General features: G+C 37.1%; 1 long non-coding RNA gene across 5 annotated transcripts in view; it reads right to left on the bottom strand.

Annotated features, from left to right (window-relative positions):
* The window catches only part of LINC01322 (long intergenic non-protein coding RNA 1322), a 332,490-nt gene that overhangs the window by 26,623 nt on the left and 293,591 nt on the right, over positions 1–12,276 (bottom strand). For 4 of the 5 annotated variants that reach the window (NR_174101.1, NR_174100.1, NR_174098.1 and 1 more), the window contains one exon: positions 1,164–1,304. The exons of the other annotated variant lie outside the window; for it this stretch is intronic. This is a non-coding gene — a long non-coding RNA (long intergenic non-protein coding RNA 1322). The remainder of the gene's footprint in view (positions 1–1,163; positions 1,305–12,276) is intronic. 5 annotated transcript variants of the gene reach the window in all.

The raw sequence follows: 12,276 nt of genomic DNA, 5'->3' as shown, positions 1-12,276 counted from the left end.
AATATCAAGTTATATTCACAGAAGTAAATGTAGGATGGGAGACTTTAAGTCTTCTTTGGAAAATAAAATTTGCTCAAATGAAAAGAAAAAACATCAGATGGCTTTGAGCTAGATTAGTAATGTTATCTGATTTTTGTAGTAAAAGATTACTCTGGTTTCTATGTGGAAGATAAATTAATGTGTATCAAGACAGAAATTAAGGATATCACTACAGAGGCTATTGCTAAAGTTTAGGAAAGAGATATTGGCAGCTTGAATGGGGAGAAGAAATAGAAACGGAGACAAGATTGGAGATATATTGTAGAGGTTCAATCAGTGGAAATAAATTAGATGCAGTCATTGAGAGAAAGAGAGTAATCAAAAATTACTTCTAAATTTTGCACTTGAGAAATTGTGTGAATAGTAATTCTATTCACTGAAATGAAGAAGACTAGGGAAGTAACAACTTTTAAGTCTGTTTTACAAGGAGATGAGATCAAGAGCTCAGCATTGTATGTGTTAAGTTTGAATTCTTTATTTAATATTCAAGTGGAGATGTTAAGTAGGCCATTATGTTTACGTGCCTAGAATTCAAGGATTCAAGAGGAGATGCCAGGGATAGAAGTGCAGGGTGGTGGAGTAGAAGGGGATAACTTTCATTACCCATGTAAATGCCATGGGTAATGACGAAATAAAACAATTTAGATAATGTATGTAGAACATAATGGGTAGCCCAGGATCCTGAAGCATGCTAATATTAGAAGACTGGGCACAGAAATAGGAGTCAGTGGAAAAGAACAAGAAGAGGCAACCAGTGGAGGTGGGACTATCCAAAATGTCTACTACTGTAGAAGCCAAGACAAGTGTTTTAGCTACTATGACTGTGTAGTACAAACACTCCAAAACTTAGGTCATTTAAAAATAAATCTTGTTCTGTGAATCAGCAATTTGATCCGGGGTCTTACTTTACTCTGCTCTAAGTGTAAGCTGGGATAACTTGAAGGCAAAAGGCTGAAATTATATGGAAACTTTTCCCCTCAAGTGCCTGGTGCCTGTATTGTGAAGATTCACACTTGGAAGCTGGGCCAGCTGGAGTTTCTAAATCCTCCTCTCTATCGCTAGGTAGTATCTCCATGTAATCACTCCAGAATGGTGGCTTTAGGGTAGCTGTACTTCTTACATACCTGTTTTGGCTCCCAAGTTGTGTGATCCCAAGACAGAGCCAGGTGGGTACATATCAGCCTTCATTACTTAGTTTTACAGGCCATACAACATTGAATCCACCACATTTTATGGGATAATGCAACTTAAAAGGTCCAAAGAAGCTGAGGAGAGGAAACAAAAATCCATCAGTCAATGGAGGAAACATAGACCCCCATCTCTCAATATTACTTTGTTGGGATATGTTGGTTTAGTCATCTTTGGAAAATATAATCTGCTGCAACTAACAAAGTAGATCAAGTAAGGTAAGCAGTATTGGATTCCATTAAGATAGCTAGTAAGGTGAGCCTATTAGAATGAGCTGTGAATTTCCCAACTGTTAGAGATCACTCATAACCCTAGCCTGATCAATGGAAAATAATGAAAACAGCTTGGGGAAGAGTAAAAAGGAAGGGCAAGAATCTGCAATTATAAGAATAGTGACTATAGATGATTTTTTTAAAAATTATACTTTAAGTTCTGGGGTATATGTGCACAACGGGCAGGTTTGTTACATAGGTGCCAATATGTTACATGTACCATATTGGTTGGCTGCACCCATCAACTTGTCATTTACATTAGGTATTTCTCCTAATGCTATCCTTCCCCTAGCTCCCGAACCCCCGACAGGCCCCAGTGTGTGATGTTCCCCTCCCTGTGTCCGTGTGTTCTCATTGTTGAACTCCCACTTATGAGTGAGAACATGCGGTGTTTGGTTTTCTCTTCTTGTGTACCATTCGGGATATAGGCATGGGCAAAGATTTCATGACTAAAACACCAAAAGCAATGGCAACACAAGCCAAAATAGACAAATGGGATCTAATGAAACTAAAGAGCGTCTGCACAGCAAAAGTAGATGACATTTAAGAAAATTTTCTGTTGAAGGGAACTAAGAAATACAGCAGCAGATGAAAGATATATAAGTTAAAGGAAATTCATTTTTTAAAGAGGGAATATTTGCATGCTGATGGAAATCATTTAAGAGAGAGATAATAAATTGCAAAGAAAAAAGGGAGTATGGTGGGCACAGAGTCTCAGGGTACTGCATAGTTTAAGATATTGGACTTTAATGGGAGAGGAGATCTTTTTTTTTATTTAAAAAAAAATTTGTCTTTTTTTCTCAAGTTCAGTAATTTGCCCAGAGAGTGGACTCTATTGATAACCGCCTGAGGAAAGTAAGTTACAGGTAAAAACAAAATTATGGTTTTGTGAATACAGTGGAAGAAAATACAGCCCAAGAAGTTAGCAACATTATTTTTGAGTCATGTATTTTTAAGTTCAAAATTAAGGTAAAAGCCATCACAGGCAAGATTAGACAATTATTCCTTCATTTTAATCATATTTCTGCTTCTAATGATCTGAAAGAAATTCTACTCTTCCACAATTTAACTAATCTTCACTCTACTGTTTAGTTCTTGTATTTTTTAAAAAACATAGCTGAAAGAATACTAATTGAGTGCCAGGCAAATTAGATTTATAACAACAAAAAACTTGACATTTTTAGATACATCTCTATTTGATCTAAATTATTAGGCTCTAAGAGAATGTGTAAATTTAAGGTAATACTAAATTGATATTTTTCAACACTTTATATTTTACTTCATATGCAATATACTTTTTACAATATTAATTTTGAATTAATCTTATGGTTTATGTGTGAATGTTAAGTTTTATAAATTAAAAAAGTTTGCCTCTTATCTTTTTCTTTTTTTCCTGTTGAGTCTTGAAAGCCTATAGCAGAAGCCTGCGCTTAGTGATGGTACTGAAGACAATGTATCAATATACAAAGTTTTATTTTTTATAATGATTATGTCACTTTATTTGTTATGTTCAGTACTTTTTTAGGTATTTGAAATCTGTTAAGTCATTTTATGATGACAACAATATGTGATAGGTGCTATTTCTGCAGTGATTTAAACGGAGATATAAAGGGGTTAACTAAGGTCAAACAGCTAGTAATTTTGGATGCAAAGTCTATGATATTAACCACTTATCTGAACTGTCTCTCTGCTAATGATGAAGTTATTGATGATAATGCTTAAGAAAATGATGTTGAGAATTGTGTAGCTGAGAGTTAATTAAATAAATGAGGCTTACTTCTAAGAATAAATTACTTAAAGCAAGGTAAAAGAGAGTTATGCAGAGGAAATTAGCTTGCAAAGTGAGTTAATGCCTCCAGAACACAGGGTGAGTGACAGGGGATGAGACTAAGTAGCTACATTTTCTGAAATGAAGATATGAAATACAATCTGTTTCATGCTATTAATGTTGTATAACCGATCAAAATTTGATTATTAAACAAAATCAACCTCTGAGTCTGAGTTCAAAGGCCAGAAAAGATCAATGTCCCAGCTAAAACAATCAGGCAGTAGGAGTTTCTTCTCACTCAAACATTTTGTTCTATTAGTTCTTCAGTTGGTTGGATGAGGCCCACCCAAATTAGGGAAGGCAATCTGCTTAACTCAGTCTACTCACTCAAATATTAATCTTATCAAGGAACACCCCTGCTGACACATACAGAATAATGTTTGGCCAACTGAATGACCACCTCCATGGCTCAGTTAAGCTGATACACAAAATTAACCATTACAATAATAGGGTGGCTTCATTAAAAATTAGGAATGTTTTTGCTAATTATCATGCAATTATAAGACAAATGTATGTAAATTCACAAATTTATTTTACCTACAGTTAAATGAATAGATCTTGTACACAATTCAATGTATATACCTGTGAAACCACTATCCCAATGAAGAAAAAGAAAATTTTTGTCATTCCAGAGAGTTCACTCAGGCCCTCTTCCAGTCAATCGCCACACTCCTAGGTAACCACTTTTCTCCTTTCTATTATTACAGATGTGTTTTGCCTCTTCTTGAACTTCATGTAATGGCACTATGCAATATGCAATTTTTGGTTAATGGCTTCTTTCATTTAACATAAGGTTTCTGAGATTCTTACAGGTTATGCTATATATTAAATCATTCCTTTTTATTACTGAATAGTATTTCATTGTAAGGATACGTGGCATTTTAAAAAATTGGCTGGGCGCTGTGGCTTATGCCTGTAATCCTAGCACTTTGGGAAGCCAAAGCGAGTGGATCACGAGGTCAGGAGATCGAGACCATCCTGGCTAACACGGTGAAACCCCATCTCTACTAAAAATACAAAAAAAAAAAAAAAAATAGCCAGGCATGGTGGCGGGTGCCTGCAGTTCCAGCTACTTGGGAGGCTGAGGCAGGAGAATGGCGTGAACCCAGGGGTGAAGCTTGCAGTGAGCTGAGATCGTGCCACTGCACTCCAGCCTGGGCAATAGAGCAAGACTCCATCTCAAAAAAAAAATCTATTTATCAGTTGACAGACATTTAGGTTGTTGCCAGTTTGGGGCTATAATGAAGAAAAGCCTCTGTGAACCTTTTGGTACGTGTCTTCTTGTACACATACATTTACATTTATCTCAGGTACATAAATAGGACTGAAATTGCTAGGCCATAACTTACACATATGGTTAAAAGGAAATACAAAACAGCAAAAAAAAAATTAATTCATTTAAATGTCTGCCAACAATATATGACACTTCAAGACATTCTATATGCAAAATTTGATGTCAACATTTTTAATGTTAGTCATTTGACCTAGGTGAAACGGTATCTCATTATAGTTAAATAACTATATTCTCAATAATCAAAATTGATGTGTTGATGTATTTGACTGACAAAAAGAACTTGCAGTACTTGCAGTATCTAGTAAGAATTTCTTGAATTACTGATATGGTTTGGCTGTGTTCCCACCCAAATCTCATCTCGAATCATAGCTCCTATAATTCTCATGTGTTGTAGGAGGAACCCAGTGGGAGATAATTTAATCATGGGGGTGGTTTCCTCCATACTGTTAGCATGATAGTGAATGAGTCTCATGAGATAAGAGGGTTATGTAACGGGAAACCCCTTTCACTTCACTCTCATTCTTTTCTTGCCTGCTGCCATGTAAGACATGTTTTTTTTGTCTTCTGCCATGACTGTGAGGCCTCCCCAGCCATGTGGAACTGCGAGTCCATTAAATTTCTGTTCCATGAACTATTTATATATCTAGGAGACATGGTAGGAGGTAAGTAGATCATAGGGACGGTTTCCCCCAAGCTGTTCTCATGGCAGTGAGTGAGTTCTCATGGGATCTGATGGTTTTATAAATGTTTGACAGTTCCTCCTTCACATACTCTCTCTTGCCTGTCACTGTGTAAAATGTGCCTGCTTCCCCTTCTGCTATGATTATAAGTTTTCTGAGGCCTCCCCAGCCATGTGGAACTGTGAGTCAATTAAATCTCCTTTTTAAATAAATTACTGCTGACACATACAGCAGTCTCAGGGAAGTTCTTTATAGCAGTGCGAAAAAAGATTAACACAGGAAATTGGTACCAGGAGTGGGGCAGTGCTATAAAGATAACCTGAAAATGTGCAAGTTACTTTGGAAATGGGTAACAGTCAGAGGTTGGAACAGTTTGAGAGGCACAGAAGACAGATGTGGGAAAGTTTGAAAATTCTTAGGGACTTGTTGAATAGTTTTCACCAAATGCTGATAATGATGTGGACAATGAAGTCCAGGCTGAGGTGATTTCAGACGGAAATAAGGAACTTCTTGGGAACTGGAGCAAAGGTCACTCTTGCTATGCTTTAGCAAAGAGACTGGCAGCATTTTGTCCCTCTCCTAGAGATCTGTGACATTTTAACTTGAAAGAGATTATCAGAAATTGGAACTTATGTTTAAAAGGGAAGCAGAGCATAAAAGTTCAGAAAATTTGCAGTCTGATGATGTGATAGAAAAGAAAAACTTGTTTTCAGAAAAGAAATTGAAGCCAGCTGCAGAAATGTACATAAATAATGAGGAACCAAATGTTAATCACCAGGAAAATGGGGAAAATGTCTCTAGGCCATGTCAGAGAGCTTGATGGCAGCCCCTCCCATCACAGGCCAAGAGGCCTAGGGGAAAAAATGGTTTCATGGGTCAGGCTCAGGGCCCTGCTGCTGTGTGCTGCCTCAGGACTTGGTACTCTGCATCCCAGCCACTCCAGCTCAAGCCATGGCTAAAATGGGCCAAGGTACAGCTTGGGCCATTGTTTCAGAAGGTTCAAGCCCCAAGCCTTGGAGGCTTTCATGTTGTGTTGAGCCTAGAGGGGCACAGAAGTCAAGACTTCAGAGGATCTATGGCAATGCCTGGATGTCCAGGTTGAAATCTACTGCAGGGAGAGAGCCCTCATGGAGAGGCTCTGCTAGGGCAGTCTGGAAGAGAAATGTGGGGTTTGAGCCCCCACACAGAGTCCCCACTGGGGCACTGCCTAGTGGAGCTGTGAGAAGAGGGCCACCACCCACCAGACCCCAGAATGGTAGATCCACTAACAGCTTGGATTTTGCACCTGGGGAAGTCACAGACACTAAACACTGAACATGAAAGCAGCCAGGGGGGAAGGGGTTGTGTGCCCTGCAAAGCCACAGGGATAGAGCTGCCCACGGCTGTGGAAGCCCACCTCTTGTATCAGTGTGCCCTGGATGTGAGACATAGAGTCAAAGGAGATTATTTCAGAGCTTTAAAATTTAATGACTACCTGCTAGATTTTAGGCCTCCTGGGACCTGTGGTCCCTTTGTTTTGGCCAGTTTCTCCCATTTGGAATGGGAGCATTTTCCCCATTCCTGTACTCACATTGTATCTAGGAAGTAACTTATTTGCTTTAGATTTTATGGGCTCCTAGGTGGAAGGGACTTGCCTTATATCAGATGAAACTTTGGACTTGGACTTTTGGGTTAGTGCTGGAATAAGTTATGACTTTGAGGGACTGTTGAGAAGGCATGATTGGTTTTCAAATGTAAAAAGAATGTGAGATTTGGAAGGGGCCAGGTGGAATGATATGGTTTGGCTCTGTGTCCTCACCAAAATCTCATCTTGAATTGTAATCTCCATAATCCCCACATGTTGAGGAAGGGCCCTGGTGGGAAGTGATTGGATCATGGGGGCAGTTCCCGCATACTGTTTTCATGATAGTGAGTTCTCATGAGATCTGATGGTTTTATAAGTGTTTGAGAGTTCCTCCTTCACACACTCTCTCTCTTGCCTGCTACCATGTAAGACATGCCTTCTTCCCCTTCCACCATAATTGTAACTTTCCTGAGGCATCCCCAGCCATGCATAACTGTGAGTAAATTAAACCTCTTCTCTTTATAAGTTATCCAGTCTCAGGGAAGATCTTTATAGCAGTGTGAAAATTGACTAATAGAGCCATATAGGCTTTTCTAAGACTCTCATCTAAAGTATATCCCTCATTTTACAGATATGAAAACATAGTCCTATGGATATTAATCATTACAATATTATTATAACTAACACTTATGTAATTATACTATATATGTCAAGAACTAGTCTAAAGGATAAATATATATTATCTAAGTTAGCCCTCAAATTGACCCTAAGGGTAGTAACTTTATTACCACTATTTTAAAGGTGAAAAAACTGACTCATAAACAGCTCAAGTGACTAGTCCAAGGTCTTACACTGAGTTTCTAATGAATTGGTACTAGGGCTCAGGTGTTAAAATTTTCAGTCTACTAATTTTTCAGTGACATGCTAGATGCAGTTCTCTGATTATTGATTTAGCGCCCAGAAAAGGATTGGTACATTATGACCAGCCACTTAAGCAGAGGTAGAAAAAGGATGAAACCTAGGGGAATAGGTTATTCAATAATGAAATTTAAAAAGAAAAAAATGTTCTAGGGAAAGATAAGTATACTGGTTTTTATTTGCTTGAAAAGTTCTCCCATATCCATTTTCTAATATCAGCACTGTCTTATCTTGTTACAACAGGAATGTTTACATGAGTTAGACTTTTCAGATTCAGTAAATAGCCCATCTGTGATCACATGACCTAGGAGCCACAGTCCTCTACTGGAATCAATTTTTAGGTGCTGGGGGAGAGCAGCTTTCTTCTGCTTCCTCCTAAGATTCTGAATAGGCAAACTTGAATTTGATGCTCACAATACTCAACTTTCTCTCAAAGTAAAGAAACCCTATCTGCGAGATGTAACCAAAGAACTACAGAGAAAAATGAAAACCTGGGAAGGTAGAAGTGGGGTTCAGGGGTGTGGGTGAAAGCTCCAGCTATGGAAACCACTACTTCTCTTTAATTTTGCTTATGCTAGTTCATTTGGGAATTCAGCCATTTGTCATTGCCATAGTACTAGTTAATACAATAGAAAATCAGACAAGCCGAGACCCTTGGGAAAGCAGTTGGCTGTCCTAACGTTAAACTGGTATAAGCATAAAAATCTAATTACCAGCCAAATACAGAGCCCTAAGAAGATCTAGTTCAGGAGATTCAGGACTGAGGCATAGATGCGGGAATTCTAAGTAGAATCACATAAACCCCAAATTCTGGGTAGGAGAGCTGGAAAAGAATGCAGCCCCTATGGCATTAACCAGTATATTCCTGTGGTTTGAAATTACAGTTAACACTACCCTGAGACATTAGTTACTAAACGGTAGAAGGGAAAGCCCACAGACATTTAAAATCGGAAAGACAAGAGGCTATTTTTATATCCACCTAGCAATGCCGCAACAAATCAATCCCAAGAGAACAAAGGAGCATTTGGAATTGCACAAAGCTACTGCAATTCAATTAACTGTGAAGAGGAGATAGCCCTACCACTAAACACCTGTGTGTACTTCTGGGAAATAGCTGAAGCAGGTAACAGCATGTTATATATTACCATATTAATGATTGTACATCATTTAAAAATATAAACAAAAAGAACCGTCTTTGACTTCCAACCTGATTTTAAAAAATAATTCTCAATAGTATTATAAAAGCCAATTTAAAATAAATATTAAATTTCCCTGAACTGGTTTCATTACAGCAAACATTGCTTATAGATATGGCATAAAATTATTCCAGACTCAACTACCTGTATGCTCATGGAATGCTTCCAAACTTACCTCTTTTCATCTATTTTAGCTCTTCCCACACACAGATTTCCTACTATCCTGACATTGCCTCTGACTGGCTTATATTGGCTTTGTTTTTTCTTACTTTGGCCTATTTGAATTTATGGCCAGTGTTTACTTTGGTTCCTTTCCTTATGAGTAGTAAATGCCAGCTCTACAATGCTGTTTCTATTCAGTCATCAGCAGTTCTGACTTTTTTGCTAATTCAAGAGAGAAAACAGATTGAATAAATATGAATGTAGACTTACAGAAAAATCCAAGCACAATATAAAACTAGAAATGAAGATTTGCTAATAAGACAACTTGTACTGTTACAGACAATAGCTGAAGAATGTGAGAAAGAAAAATCAAAAGCACACAAATGAGACTGTGCAGTGAAGAGGCCACAGAGACAACCATACTGTCTTTTTGTATCACAATAAGCAAAGTAAGTAGAAATTTCATTCCTTTAAATTTATAATTTTTAAGAATTAATTCAGACTATAAATTCATTCTTTCTAATGGCTCAAAATGCTTCTATTGGTGTTTTAAATTTGTTCCCTCTTGGAGGTTATTGGGGAAAAAATACGTCTACAAGCTTTTAATAGAACGAAGAGTGTATCTGTCAGCTCTACCCACGAATTTAGGCATTGGTGCCTCTGATCATCAATTTACTTTAGCTTTGCTCCTGACTCACAAGAATGTTAAGTACTCAAGGGATTAAATGCTAGTCCCTTGGGGTTCTGTACACAAATAGGCTGATTTGGTCTAGTAATCAAATGAGATTTGTTTTACAAGAAGATACAAGCACAATTACTGAAACTAAACACAAATAGAAAGAGGAGCTGGTTACCAAGCCAAACAGAATGTCAGTGTTTGAGAACAAGGAGATAGACACTATCTATAATAAGTCATCCACTATGAATTAGACAAATTTCTAGCTATTTTCAGGAGAAAATCCTTGGCTAATCCTCTTTTTAAATAGTAGTCATTTCATAAAATGCATTGATATAACCCTGATTGAATTCCTACTTCTTTATCACTCCCTACAAACAAACATACTACAGATTAATTCAGCAGTATAAGATTCCCCAGAAGAGTTTATAACTGAAAGAAAAACAATATACCCCCAAAAGGGGGAGAAATATTGGAGAAATATAAACAAGTCTTTTCATCCTAATTGGCTTTCCAATATCTTCTATTTTCCTTTTTTTTTTTTTTTTTTTTTTAATTTATTTTTGAGACAAGGTTTTGCTCTGTCACTCAGGCTGGAGTGCAGTGGTGCAATCTCGGCTCACTGCAACCTCACTGCTCAAGCAATCATCTCACCGCAGCCTCCCAAGTAGATGGGATTACAGATGTGTGCCACAATGCCCGGCTAATTCTTTTGTTGTTTGTTTTGTCTTGTTTTTAGAAACAGCGTCTCAGTATGTTGCTCAGGCTGTTCTTGAACTCCTGGGCTCAAATCATCTCCCACCTCAGCCTCCCAAACTGCTGGGTTTACAGGCATGACCAACTGCACCCAGGTGAAAATTTTCTATTTTTCTAAAACTATTTCTATTTTTCTAAACTGTTTGTCCACTCTAGGAACTGTTAGAGTAAAAAAGATATAAGGTTTACATATAAATCTCATAAGAAAGCTAGATTATTTAGTGATAATTTACATCATATATTAGCCTAGTGCCATGTATATTGAAGGGTTTATAAAGTAATATACAATTTTGTAATAGTGTGGTTTATAAATACAAAAAAACCCCCATAAGTAGTAATAAAAGAATAGACTAAGACCATCAAAGTGACGTTTCCAAAGTAGAAACTAAGAATACCTAGAGGCATTAATTATTCTTGGTGTCTTTCTGAAATTCTTTTAGATTTGTTGTTGTTGTAAGGTATTTAAGATAATTTAGAAATTTCTAAATAATTATTTTTAAACTTTGAAAATGTACAAAATCTATTTTAGAGCTTCATAAAGAGGGAAACTTTAAAGGATCACGCTACTTTTTCTAAATCTCAACCAATAACTATACAAATATCTACGGATATTTGACTAGAAAATTTAAATCCTCATTTATTTCAGTCAGTTGTTCTTGCATAGTAATGGGTTAAATATTTTTATGTAGTATATTTTAAAAGCCCACTTAACATTTTCTTTTAGATTATTTTAAAACAATTTAGGAAATCTCAAATACTAAGGTTAGTTTGTTTGCTTTTTAAGTTTAACTTTGTGTACATTTTAATAAGTGACAAGCTTGAATTTCTTCCACAAAATTACAAAGTATTAGAAAAGTTTCTAGACTTATGTATTTGAAATTCTGTATAATACAACTTTTTTTCAACAAATCCTTCCTTCTGAACTCACTGTCAAAACTTCGCTTATACTTTGAAGAGACTGGTTGTGTTTACTTTTTGTCAAAAATATTCTATTTATTATACAACAAAATAAAACACTTACTGTAATAGAAAGATAAGCAGGTAGGAAACACTCTCATTTGTAAATTAGCATCTTGTCTGTAAACTCAAAAAAAGAAAAAAAAAAATTTGGGGCCGGGCACGGTGGCTCACGCCTGTAATCCCAGCACTTGGGGAGGCTGAGGCGAGTGGATCACGAGGTCAGGAGATCGAGACCATCCTGGCTAACATGGTGAAACCCTGTCTCTACTAAAAATACAAAAAATTAGCCAGGCGTGGTGGCGGGTGCCTGTAGTCCCAGATACTTGGGAGGCTGAGGCAGTAGAATGGTGTGAACCCTGGAGGTGGAGCTTGCAGTGAGCCGAGATCGCGCCACTGCACTCCAGCCTGGGTGACAGAGCAAGATTCCGTCTCAAAAAAAAAAAAATTGATACATTTTTTGCAGCAAACATCTATGTGTTCAGATGACTGTCATGGTCTTGATCTATCTCATTACTAAGTATTGGAATTTTTTGTGCTATTTAAGATTATGAAATCTATAAATCTCTTTAATGGGCAAAATCTGATGAAAGCAAATCAACTCTTTTGGATTGTGTAATACTCTGGCAGGCTACCTTGCTTGTTACCTAAGGTCATGATGCTTGATTATCCGATAAATGGCCCAAGAAAGAGCACCAGTGTCAATCCTTATAGTAAATATTTTAAGTATAAATCTGTTTCTTATT

The sequence above is a fragment of the Homo sapiens genome, chromosome 3 (genome assembly GCF_000001405.40).
Source record: "Homo sapiens chromosome 3, GRCh38.p14 Primary Assembly".
NCBI classification, from domain to species: domain Eukaryota; kingdom Metazoa; phylum Chordata; class Mammalia; order Primates; family Hominidae; genus Homo; species Homo sapiens.
This window is presented reverse-complemented; position numbering and strand designations above follow the sequence as displayed.